A 13,770-nucleotide genomic window follows, 5' to 3' on the forward strand; every position below is an offset into this window, starting at 1 on the left:
GGCACCCGCCACCACGCCTGGCTAATTTTTTGTATTTTTAGTAGAGATGGGGTTTCACCATGTTAGCCAGGATAGTCTCGACCTCCTGACCTTGTGATCTACCAGCCTCGGCCTCCCAAAGTGCTGGGATTACGGGTGTGAGCCACCGTGCCCGGCCAGCTTGATTTATTATATTCTGTTTACTTAAGACTGGGCAACTCCTTTTCGGATGACCGATTTGACCACAATTATAACATTTTTTCCCAAATGTTCTAACTTGTCCTCCTAAAGCGACTCCCGCTATTGCTTCAGCCATTAGCATTGCCTTTATACATAGCTCCTCCAATCCCATCATAAGCCTTCACTTATTCTGTAATTACATCAACTCCTGCTGGAACTTTTCTTTTTAATGGCTTTATGGCCGATTGACATTCTGGATTTGCATTTTGATAGGCCATTAATTCTACAATATCTTTTCGGGCGTTATCATCTGTAACAGATTTTTGAGCAGCATCTTGCAACCTTGCCACAAAGTCTGGATATGGCTCTTTAGAGACTTGTCTAATTGAATTAAAAGAAGGGCAGGTGGTTCCCAGGTCCTGAATTTTTTCCCAGGCCCTGAGGCAAATAGCCCTTAGGTGTTCAATAGCCCTTAGGTGTTCAACAGGTGTTCTGCATTACTGATTGTTGGTTAATGGTGCTCCAATTTGGACCTGTTCCTAGCAATTGGTCTGCATCTATATTAACAGTGGGGTTAGTAACCTGATTTTTTCGTACCTGTTCTTGTACTCCATCGATCCACCACGGTTTAAACTGTAGAAACTGAGAGGGTGAAAGGGAAGATTTAGCCAAAATTTCCCAGTCATAAGGAATAAGTCTATTTCCATGAACAATGGAATCTAATAATGTTCTCACATAAGGGGAGTTGGGTCCATATTAACTCCTTCCTTCATATCTTTTAACATTTTCATGGTGAAAGATTCATATCTAGCTTCAGTTTGGACAGACGCTCCTGCTAGAGTCCCTTTCCCGGCCGGTATCGGTTGTAAAATTACCGGGAACTCCCATGCCTCAAGATCTCCCTGTTTACTGGCTTTATCAATAATTTCATGCAGTGTACTACCTTGTCCACTAGGTGGTGCGGTAGGATTAAACACCACTGCCGTGGGTTGCTGGTATGGTGCCGTGCTATTTGGCACAGGACACACCACTTGAGGTCTGTATTTAACCTCTGGAGGTGGCCGATACTGAAGGTCGGCTGGCGGCCAGTACTGATAAATTACTGGTGGTTGGGTCTTATTTTCTACCAGCTTATATTGTGGATACTGCATCTGAATTGGCATTGCCGGGATAGAGACTCTATCCTTTTCTACTTGATATTCTCTTGGGGTTTGTACTTGTCTAACCTCCCTTTGAGGTTGTAATGTTACAGGTATCTGAACCACGGGAGGAGTTGATGGCCATCGTGGTTTAGGCTCTGATGGCCCCAATAATTCTGGACCTCCTTCCCCCAATTTTGATTATTCATGATATATTACCTCCTTTAATTGATTGTAGTCAACATTTTGCGTTGACCAAGCCATTACAGACTCTGCTACATATTTACAATGTGAACTTTCCATTCCTTTCCTAAACTCTGTCTCTGCCTCTTCTTCACAATCTATTACACAGCTTTCAGGGGCAGCAGAAATGCTATCTTCTTCTGTTTGAAACGGTTCTAAAGTTGCTTTAATAATGGCCCAATCATTCCATACTGTAAGTAGGATGATTTTACCTTCCCTATTTGCTTGTTTTAATTCTTTGCCAATTTTTTTCCCAATCTTTTAGATCTAAAGTTCTCTGTTCTGGAAACCAGGGGCAAAATTGTTCTATTGTTTGAAATAGCGTAATTAGATTTTCTGTAGAAGCCCTAACTCCCCCTCTTCTTAAAAGAATTTTAATGAAGCTGAGATAAGAGGCATATTTACTTTCAGTTTGTCCCATTGTTACCCTGGGTTCCTCCGAGCACACAAGCTTACCGCAAGGCTGACGGTGGACGTACTCGGGAATCTCTCGTCGACTGTCCTCAATGCTCACGTTCTTAATGTACCTTCACCTTAGAGAAAGGCACCCACATTGGCGGCAGATGAAGGGGTGGCCTGCCCCTCCACACCTGTGGGTATCTCTCGTCAGGTGGGACGAGAGACTAAAAAAAGAAATAAGACACAGAGACAAAGTATAGAGAAAGAACAGTGGGGCCCAGGAGACTGGCGCTCAGCATACAGAGGACCTGCACCGGCCCCCGTCTCTGAGTTCCCTCAGTATTTACTGATTATTATTTTCACTATCTCAGCAAGGGGAATGTGGCAGAACAGGGTGATAGCGGGGAGAAGGTTGGCAAGAAAACATGTGAGCAAAGGAATCTGTGTCACAAATAAGTTCAAGGGAAGGTACTATGCCTGGATGTGCACATAGGCCAGACTCATGCTTCTCTCCACCCAAACATCTCAGTGTAGTAAAGAATAACAGAGCAGTATTGCCACCAGCATATCTCACCTCCAGCCACAGGGCGGTTTTCTCCTATCTCAGAATAGAACGAATGTACAATCGGGTTTTATACTGAGACATTCCGTTCCCAGGGGCATGCAGGAGACAGAGGCCTTCCTCTTATTTCAACTGCAAGAGGCCTTCCTCTTTTACTAATCCTCCTCAGCACAGACCCTTCACGGGTGTTGGGCTGGGGGATGGTCAGGTCTTTCCCGTCCCACGAGGCCATACCTCAGGCTGTCTCAGTGGGGAGAAACCTTGGACAATACTGGCTTTCCTGGGCAGGGGTCCCTGTGGCTTTCTGCAGTGCATTGTGCCCCTGGTTAATCGAGAATGGAGAATGGCGATGACTTTTATCAAGCATACTGCCTGTAAACGTTTTGTTAACAAGGCACATCCTGCACAGCCCTAGATCCCTTAAACCTTGATTCCATACAACACATATTTCTGTGAGCACAAGGTTGGGGCTAAAGTTACAGATTAACAGCATCTCCAGGCAAAACAATTGTTCAGGGTACAGATCAAAATGGACTTTCTTATGTCTTCCTTTTCTATGTAGACCCAGTAACAGTCTGATCTCTCTCTCTTTTCCCTACAAGTTTGGCGTAGGCTGGGTATGGTGGCTCACGCCTGTAATCCTAGCACTTTGGGAGGCTGAGGCGGGCAGATCACCTGAGATCAGGAGTTCGAGACCAGGCTGACCAACATGGAGAAACTCCATTTCCACTAAAAATACAAAAATTGGCCGGGCACGGTGGCTCACGCCTGTAATCCCAGCACTTTGGGAGGCCGAGGCGGGTGGATCACCTGAGATCAGGAGATCGAGACCATCCTAGCTAACACGGTGAAACCCTGTCTCTACTAAAAATACAAAAAAATTAGCCAGGCGTGGTGGCGGGCGCCTGTAGTCCCAGCTACTCGACAGGCTGAGGCAGGAGAATGGCGTGAACCTGGGAGTGGAGCTTGCAGTGAGTGGAGATTGCACCACTGCACTCCAGCCTGGGCGATAGAGTGAGACTCCATCTCAAAAAAAAAAAAAAAAAAAAAAAAAATAGAATTTGGCCTTTGTCCCTGGTGCTTGGGAGGGAGACTCAATCCTTAGAATTTCTCAAGTACTAAGAGTGATATTTATGGCCCAGATAGTTTATGCTAATTCGGTGACTCATGGTGGGCCATAAGCAGTTTCAGGATAGGAGCTGACCATATCAGAAAGACCAACTCTGTGATTAGAGATTGGGGATTCAATCCACTTGAGGTTCAGGGAGGGGAAATGGAACTGAATCTCCAGCCAGTGATTTAATCAACTATGCCTATGTAATGGAACTCTGATAAAAAAAAAAAAAAGAAAGAAAAAACTCTGAATGCAGGCTGGGAGTGGTACCTCAGGCCTGTACTGCCAGCACTTTGGGGAGGCCAAGGCAGGAGGATTGCTTGAGCCCAGGAGCTTGAGTCTCCAACCTGAACCAGAGAGCAAAATCCCGTTTCTACAAAAAAGAATAAAATTAGCCGGGTGTGGTGACATGCACCCGCAGTCCCAGCTACATGGGAGGCTGAGGTGGGAGGATCACTTGAGCCTGAGAGATAAAAGCTACAGTGAGCCGTATCATGCCACTGTGCTCCAGCCTGGACAACACAGCCAGACCCTGTCTCAAAAACAAACAAACAGGCTGGGCATGGTGGCTCACGCCTGTCATCTCAACACTTCGGGAGGCCGAAGCAGGCGGATCATGAGGTCAAGAGATCAAGACCATCCTGGCCAATGTGAAACCCCGTCTCTATTAAAAATACAAAAATTAGCTGGTTGCGGTGGCACACACCTGTAATCCCAGCTACTTGGGAGGCTGAGGCAGGATAATCGCTTGAACCTGGGAGGTGGAGGTTGCAGTGAGCCAAGATCGTGCCACTCCAGCCTGGGTGACAGATAGAGACTCTGTCTCAAAAAAAAAAAAAAATACAAGCAACAACAAAAAAACTTCTGGATACAGAACTCTGGAGTGCCCTGGTTGATGAACATATGGAGTGTCAGAGGGCAGAGGGCGACATAACCTGCCTGATTCCGCAGGGAGAGGGCATGGTATCTCTGCATTCAGAACCCTCTCACACTTGCCCTGCATGTCTCCCTGGCTGGTTGTGCTGATTTCTATCCTCCATAATAAAACTGTAATCATAAGAATAGCACTTTCCTGAGTTCTGTGAGTTGTTGTAGTGACTTATTGAATCTGAGGGGGATCATGAGAAACCCCCAAATTTGTAGCCAGTCAGTCAGAAGTGTGGGTGACCTGAGAATCCCCCTGACCTTGCAGCTGACCTCTGAAGTAAAGGCAGTTTTCTTGGGGATTGTGCATTTTAACTTGCGGGGTCTGCACTAGCTCTGGATGGTGAGTGCCAGAATTGAACCGCAGTACGCCAGTTGGTAGTTAACAGAATACTACGCGATGGAAGAACTTATCACGTCTGTGGCCTGGGTCAATTCCCCGGGCAGACTCCTTCAGTTCTTCCCCTAAGGATTTCTTCCTAACTCACCAGGTTCACTTTCTTTCCCAGATGTCCTTGGCCCTGGTTCTACTCCCAAGATCCTTGCTGGGAGGCTCTGGTTTCTTGCTATACCATTGCCTCCTTTCCTGCCAGCCAAGTGCAAGATGAAAGCATGCCTATGATGTCAAAACGGACTTGGGTGTTCTCCCAGCCACAGTAAAAGTCAAATGTCCTCGGAATTAGGGAGAGTGATGTGCATGTGGTTGGGAAGTGGGGGATCATCTCAGTGTCATTCTTAAATCTTCTCTCACATTCTTTCATTTTGTCCACAGCACAACCCCATAAAATGATCAGGACAAGTTAGGAATTAGGGATTGACAAGAAGGACCTCAAACATCACTGAGTCCAAACCCTCTTAGATAGCTAACCAAGTCCATGAAAGGAAGTAACAGCTGGGTTTGGAACCGAGGCCTCCTGACTCCTGACCCAATGCTCTTCCATTAAACCAGGCTGCCTCCCCTTGATGGGGCTCAGAGGCCCCTGCCCTGTGGGCAGCCATCTAAGCTCATGCACTGCCACAGATATGCATGCAGAAGGCAGGGAGAGAAAATAAGGAAAATTGAATAAACAGACAGAGGCAATGGTATTTCCCATCCAGGTAAATCTAGAGCCTCTCCTTGAGTCAGCCAGGGCACCAGAGGCCAAGAGGTTATTTCAGCAGGGGGTAGCAAGGCCAGGTATCAACCTCTAGGTCTAGAGATAGGTTCCAAACATCCCTAAGCTCATTTATAATTCGTCAGACATCTTTCATCGGTTATTTAAGATATTTCTCGGCCAGGCGCAGTGGCTCATGCCTATAATCCCAGAACTTTGGAAGGTCAAGGCAGGCAGATCACTTGCAACCAGGAGTTTGAGACCAGCCTGGGCAACATAGCAAAACCCCATCTCTACTAAAAATACAAAAAATTAGCTAGGCAAGGTGGTGCACACCTGTAGTCTCAGCTACGTGAGAGGCTGAGGTGGGAGGATCAATTTAGCCTGGAAGGTCAAGGCTGCAGTGTGCCGAGATCGTGCCACTGCACTCCAGACTGAGCAATGGGAGTGAGACCCTGTCTCAACAGATATAGCTAGAAAGATGATAGATAGATAGAGATAAATAGATAGATAGACAGACACGGCCAGGTGTGGTGACTCATGCCTGTAATCCTAGCACTTTGGGAGGCCAAGGCAAGCGGATAACATGAAGTCAGGAGTTCGAGACCAGGCTGGCCAACATGGTAAAACCCCATCTCAACTAAAAATACAGAAATTAGGTGGCATGGTGGCTCACGCCTGTAATCCCAGCACTTTGGGAGGCTGAGGCAGGTGGATCATCTGATGTCAGGAGTTCGAGACCATCCTGGCCAGCATGGTGAAACTCTGTCTCTACTAAAAACACAAAATTATCCAGGCGTGGTGGCGGGCACCTCTAATCCTAGCTACTCGGGAGGCTGAGGCAGGAGAATCACTTGAACCTGGTAGGCAGAGTTTGAGGTGAGCCGAGATGGCGCCACTGCACTCCAGCCTGGGTGACAAAGCGAGAATCCCTCTCAAAAACAAAACAAAAAAAGAATCCCTTGATGGCAACTTGAAGGAGCCCCTCATCTCCTCCAGGCACAGGCACATGTGACTAAGGACAGGACCGGGATGTCATTGTAAAGGTTGCCGAGATTCAGTGCTAAGTAAATGCTTAGCCCTCCAAGTCTCTTATGCTAAAGTAAGGGCATTGCTGGGAAAGGTCTGGGAGCCTGAGATGAGATGGAGACATTTAGGCAGACATGAATAAGACTGAGAACTTTGAAACCCCAAATTCCCTTGAAATTCTCATGTCTGTAGAGATAAGCTCCTCTAATACTGCTCCCTCCTCCCAAAACATCAGCCTCAGAACCCTCCCTGCCCCCATCCCTCTTGGGCCCCAGGCCCTTCATGAGTTAGGTCCCAGCACAGCCCATGGAGAAGCACAAGGTCACGCTGAGAGGGGGACGCCGGGCTGAGTTACAGGCCTGGCCAGCTTGTCTTGGCAGAAGCTGCAGGAGCATGTGTGGGAGTGTGTGCTGAGGGAGCTAGACCAAGGTGGGGGGATGGAAGCCTTGGTTTGTCCAAACTCGTTGCCGTGGATCCTTATCCAGGATTTGGGATTTACTGTGTTGGCCTGAGCACCTGGGAGGAGAATTAATAGTTGGCTAGATTGGCTAATTAAAGTCTGGATTAAGTAGTAGCCTACAGTTAATAAGCATGAAATGCCAGAACTTCCCTGGCATTCTGTAGAAGAAGGAATCAGAAGTCCCCGGGAGACGGGAATGCTGGACTGGATCTATGATGCGCACCTTCTTAGCCACTGCTGCCACATATTTTAGGAGGGTCTGGAAAACACTCCCTTTATGAAAGCATTAAGAAATGCGTTCGTGAGGGCCACCAGCATCCTTGACTTGCTCTGATGACTGTCCTGTCTTGACTAGAGAGCTAGTGGGGTGTGCTGGATGGATCAGTGGAACTGGATTCCCTGATCTCAATGAGAATAATAGCATCTTGGTGGTACAAAGGCCAAATGGTGATGCTTACTTAACAAAGGCAAGGTGGATATAATAGCCCACAACAAGGCAAAGGGACTAAATCATCACCAGGTGGACAAGATGACAGTCCTGTGGACGATGGTCAGCTGCTTTCCCAGCTGCCCCCAGGGCTTGTGCAAAGATATAAAGTGGCCATGGTGACAGGGATGGAAGCTATGTCTGGGCTCAGTAACAGAGTCTTCTCCTCTCTGAGGCTGATCTGGCTGTGGCCAGTGCTGAGCGTCGACCTCCTCACAGCCTAGTGCTGAGTCCCTGATTGGGCATCATTCTCACCTCATTGTAGATTGGTTTGACTGGGTCCTCCCATCACGAAGGGGCTGTATTTTATCTTCATGAGGATAGGCACATATTTCATGTATGAATTTGCTGTCTCTACCTACAGTGCTTCCATCAGCACCACCACTCATGGACTTACTGAATGCCATATCCATCAGCATGGCATTCAACATAATATAGCCTCCAACCAGGGCAATACATGTTACAGCCAAGGAAATGTACAAATGAGCTCACACTCAATGAATTCACTGGCCTTACCATGTACCCCATGGACCAGAAGCAGCTGGCTGGATAGAATGGTAGATTGGCCTCTATTAGAGCACAGCTGGGACACTACCTCTGGCAGGGTAGGGTGCTACCCTACAGGATGCAGGGTGTTTTGTTTTTTGTTTTTGAGATGGAGTCTTGCTCTGTCGCCCAGGCTGGAGTGCAGTGGCGCTATCTCAGCTCAATGTGACCTCCGCCTCCCGGATTCAAGCGATTCTCCTGCCTCAGCCTCCCGAGTAGCTGGGACTACAGGCACCCCGCCACCACGCCCAGCTAATTATTTATATATTTTTTTTGTATTTTTAGTAGAGACAGGGTTTCACCATATTGGCCAGGCTGGTCTCGAACTCCTGACTTTGTGATCTGCCCACCTCGGCCTCCCAAAGTGCTGGGATTACAGGTGTGAGCCACCATGACCGGCCGATGCAGTATATTTTTTAAATCAAAACCACAGTCATATATACCACCAAGAGGGAGGGGTGGCAGAGGCCTCCTCACTATTACATCTAACGTCTATAACCACTAGAAGAATTTTTTTGTAGAGAGAGGTCTTGCTATGTTGCCCAAGCTGGTCTGGAAGTCTTGAGTTCAACCAATCCTTCACCTCCCACCTTTTTTTTTTTTTTTTTGAGACGGAGTCTCTCTCTGTCGCCCAGGCTGGAGTGCAGTGGCGCGATCTCGGCTCACTGCAAGCTTCGCCTCCCGGGTTCACGCCATTCTCCTGCCTCAGCCTCCTGAGTAGCTGGGACTACAGGCGCCCGCCACCGTGCCCAGCTAATTTTTTTTGGATTTTTAGTAGAGACAGGGTTTCACCATGGTCCCGATCTCCTGACCTTGTGATCCGCCCGCCTCGGCCTCCCAAAGTGCTGGGATTACAGGTGTGAGCCACCGCACCCGCCTCACCTCCCACCTTAACCTCCCAAAGTCCAAAGTGCTGGGATTACAGGCATTAGCCACTGCGTCAAGCCTCAAGTATAAATTTTTTGGGGGGGGACAGAGTCTCGTTCTGTCGCCCAGGCTGGAGTGCAGTGGTGTGAGCTCGGCTTACTGCAACCTCCGCCTCGTGGGGTCAAGCGATTCTCCTGCCTCAGCCTCCTGAGTAGCTGGGTAGGTGTGTGCCACCACGCCCGGCTAATTTTTTATATTTTTAGTAGAAATGGCGTTTCACCGTTTTAGCCAGGATGGTCTCGATCTCCTGACCTTGTGATCAGCCCACCTCCCAAAGTGCTAGGATTACAGACGTAAGCCACCGCGCCCGGCCCCCAAGTATAAACTTCTAAAGCACTTGTTCTGATTCCCACCCACTCTACAAGAAAGAGCCCCTCCCCCAGGACCCCGCCCTCTAACTCTGCACTTATGCTTGGGTGTGTGGGCGTGTGTGTGTGTGTGTGTGTGTGCGTGCGTGTAGTGTGTTGCTTAGGCACAGTATCTGTTAACACTCCAGGTCCCCTACCTGTCTCTTCCCTCTTGACTGCTGAGAGCATCTCTTTTTGTCTGATTATCCCCAGCCCCAATTCCTGGCATAAAGCAGAGACCAATAGGTCGGGCCTGGTGCCTAACACCTGTAATCCCAGCACTTTGGGAGGTCGAGGTGGGCGGATCACGTGGTCAGGAGTTCGAGACCAGCCTGACCAACATGGTGAAACCCTGTCTCTACTAAAAATACAAAAATTAGCCGGGTGTGGTGGTGGGCGCCTGTAATCCCAGCTACTCAGGAGCCTGAGGCAGGAGAATCGCTTGAACCCGGGAGGTGGAGGTTGCAGTGAGCCGAGATTGTGCCACTGCACTCCAGCCTGGGTGACAGACCGAGACTCTGTCTCAAAAAAAAAAAAAAAAAAAAAAAAAAGGCAGAGACCAATAAATGGTTCTGAATGAAAGAATGAATGAACATTTTAGGCTTGTATACTATTTCATCGTGCATATCCACCATATTTTATTTAGCTATTTCCTTATCATTGAACATTTAGGTGATTTTTTTTGTTATAAATAACACTGTAGCTTTTCATTTGATAAATTAAATAGGTGTGCCCCTGTCAGCATTCCTGAAGGGGACTTTTTTTTTTTTTTTTTTTTTTTTTGAGACAGAGTTTCGCTCTTGTTGCCCAGGCTGGAGTGCAATGCGTGATCTCGGCTCACTGCAACCTCCACCTCCTGGGTTCAAGCGATTCTCCTGCCTCAGCCTCCCAAGTAGCTGGGACTACTGGCGCGTGCCACCACACTCGGCTAATTTTGTATTTTTAGTAGAGACGGGGTTTCTCCATGTTGGCCAGGCTGGTCTCGAACTCCTAACCTCAGGTGATCCGCCCGCCTTGGCCTCCCAAAGTGCTGGGATTACAGGCGTAAGCCACCACGCCCGGCCTACTTTTTCTTAATTTTATTTTTCACATCCTACGTGGCTCGTCTCAGCTTTCCATGGGCCCTCGGTTTTCCACCGGTACATAAGAAAAAATGGAGGGGAGGTATCAATTAGCGTGAGCACCTGCCATGCCCCAGGCACGCAGATGGGCGCCCCTATTTCATTTCTCTGCCCCGGCAGCCTTGTGAATGAGCTTTGGAAGAGACAGCCCTGTAAACACATCCCTCTGCTGAACTGCCGCCTCCAGCTGGCTCCACCACTGGCCTGCTAGGGTATCTTCGCCGTTTCAACTTAGTTTTTCTGGGCCCGTTTCCTTAGCCGGTAACACCTGGTGGGATGGTTGTGAGGATTAAATTAGATATCTGGGAACGAGTCCTGGCCAGCGAATGATAGGTTCGCCCAAGTCCAGTTAAAAGGCCGTCCGCCCAGGGCAAGGCGTCTTCAGGGCCAGCAAGACTATGGGGTCCGAGGGAGACTCGGGGATCTCAGCAAGAGGAGACCAATGTGAGGAGCAGGCAAGGAACGCTTCCAGGCTGCGGTGGCCAGGGACGCCTGAGCCCCGCGGGAGCCGGAGCGGACAGGCGGAAGGGTCAGCTACTGCAGATAGAGGCGGCTGGCTCGGGGGCGGGGGTGGAGGGGGTCTTCCTCCTTCCGGTTCTTGGGAAGATCCTGCAATCTGAAAGAGGCAGGAGAGCTCTTTCCCCATCTGTAATGTGGTAACCGAGCCCGAGCCAGCTCCTCCCTGGGCTGGAGGGTGGGAGAGTCGTTAGGGACACCTGCCCCGCTCCCTCCCCCTCCCGGGGGGGAACCCACCGCGACGGCGCGCACCTGGGCGCGGGCTGTGCCTGGGAACGCGCGGGGACCGCGGCCTCCAGGCAGCCCTGGGAAAGCAAGGGCCGGGAGCGCAGCCCTGGAGGCAGAGTGTTCCCTCAGGACCGTCAGGAGAGCGCCATCCACAGGATTATTAAAATAGCCATCCAGACGGAAATCGAGTGAGGCTGGCACCAGACTAAAGAAGTTTCAAGGCCAGGCGCGGTGCCTCACGCCTGTAATCCCAGCACTTTGGGAGGCCGAGGCGGGCGGATCACCTGAGGTCGGGGGTTCAAGACCAGCCTGACCAACATGGAGAAACCCCATCTCTACTAAAAATACGAAATTAGCTGGGCATGGTGGCGGTGACTGTAATCCCAGCTACTTGGGAGGCTGAGGCAGGAGAATCTCTTGAACCCGGGAGGCGGAGGTTGTGGTGAGCCAAGATCGTGCCATTGCACTCTAGCCTGGGCAACAAGAGCGAAACTCCGTCTCAAAAAAAAAAAAAAAAAAAAAAGAAAGAAAGAAGGAAAGTCTCAAAGAGATATCTGTGTTCATAATGGATATCATTATGAACTCCTGGCCTCAAGCAGTCCTCCCTCCTCGGCCTCCCAAAGTGCTGGGATTACAGGCATCATCAAGTAAACTCTTTAAATGATATTTGGTGCTTCAGCCTCTTCCTTTGAGGTCAATACCACTTTAGCTATCATTAAGTCATGTTCGTGATAGCTAAAATGTGGAAGCAGCCCAGTGTCCACCCACAGATTAATGGATAAGCAGAATGTGCTCTATACATACAATGAGATATTATTCAGCTTTAAAAAGGAAGAAAATTCTGACACGTGGTTCAACATGGATGAAACTTGACATGTGCTAAATGAAATGAACCGGTCACAAAAAACAAATACTGTATGATTCTACTTGAATGAGGTAGTCAAATTCATTTATAGAAAGTAGAATGTTGGTGGCCAGGCACGGTGGCTCACGCCTGTAATCCCAGCACTTTGGGAGACCGAGGTGGGCAGATCACTTGAGGTCAGAGTTTGAGACCAGCCTGGCCAACATGGTGAAACCCTGTCTCTACTAAAAATACAAAAATTAGCCGGGCATGGTGGCAGTTGCCTATAATCCCTGCTACTTGGGAGGCTGAGGCACAAGAATCACTTGAACCTGGGAGGTGGAGGTTGCAGTGAGCCGAGATCACACCACTGCACTCCAGCCTGGGCGACAGAGTGAGACTCCATCTCAAAAAAAAAAAAAAAAAGAAAGAAAGAAAGAGTAGAATGGGAATGGTGGTTGCCACGGTACAGAGTTTCATTTTTGCAAGATAAATTCTAGAGATGGATGATGGTGATGGTTGCACAGCAGTATGAATGGCCACTGAAATGTATGCTTACAAATGGTTAGGATGGCCAGGTATGGAAGCATGCCCCTGTAGTCCCAGCTACTCTGTAGTCTGAGGCCATGAGTTTGACAATCACATCTGTGAATAGACACTGCACTCCAGTCCAGGTAAAATAACAGGATCTTGTCTCTTTTTTTTTTTTCTTTTTGAGCCAGAGTCTCGCTCTTTCACCCCGGCTGGAGTGCAATGGCACCATCTCGGCTCACTGCAACCTCTGCCTCACGGGTTCAAGTGATTCTCCTGCCTCAGCCTCCTGAGTAGCTGGGATTACAGGCACGCACCACCATGCCTGGCTAATTTTTGTATTTTTTAGTACAGACGGGGTTTCACCATGTTAGTCAGGCTGATCTTGAACCCCTGACCTCGTGATCCACCCCCCGCCCCTCGGCCTCCCAAAGTGCTGGGATTACAGGCGTGAACCACCGCGCCCAGCTAGAAAAAAATAATTTTTTAATAGTTGAACAACAAACCACAAAAAAATTACAGAGGCCTTTAGACAATAATTTTAAGGAAATAAATGTAAATTTGGGGGACTGGGTGTGGTGGCTCAAGTCTGATCCCAGCACATTGGGAGGTCAAGGCAGGCAGATCATTTGAGCTCAGGAGTTCTAGACCAACCTGGGCAACATGGTAAAATCCCATCTCTACAAAAATACAAAAAATTAGCCAGGTGGTGGCGCACGCCTGTGGTCTTAGCTACTGGAGAGGTTAATTTGGGGGTGAGGCAGGAGGATCGCTTGAGCCAGGGAGGTGGAGGTTGCAGTGAGCCTTGACTGTACCACTGCACTCCAGTCTGGGTGACAGAGCAAGACCCTGTCTCAAAAACAAAAAAAGTAGCCGGGCGCGGTGGCTCACCCTTGTAATCCCAGCACTTTAGGAGGCCAAGGTGGGCGGATTGAGAGGTCAAGAGATCGAGACCATCCTGGCCAACATGGTGAAACCCCATCTCTACTAAAAATACAAAAATCAGCTGGGCATGGTAGCGCACGCCTGTAGTCCCAGCTACTCTGGAGGCTGAGGCAGGAGAATCGCTTGAACCCGGGAGGCAGAAGTCTCAGTGAGCC

The 13,770-nt window shown here is 49.0% G+C and overlaps 1 annotated feature.

Annotated features, from left to right (window-relative positions):
• Positions 1,002–1,231: a silencer, noted in NCBI's record as "silent region_17209". NCBI's record gives its function as "represses an Ori minimal core promoter by ATAC-STARR-seq in GM12878 lymphoblastoid cells {active_cell/tissue: GM12878}" and the evidence as "EXISTENCE:reporter gene assay evidence [ECO:0000049][PMID:35858748]".

This window comes from Homo sapiens, chromosome 6 (assembly GCF_000001405.40).
Source record: "Homo sapiens chromosome 6, GRCh38.p14 Primary Assembly".
NCBI lineage: Eukaryota > Metazoa > Chordata > Mammalia > Primates > Hominidae > Homo > Homo sapiens.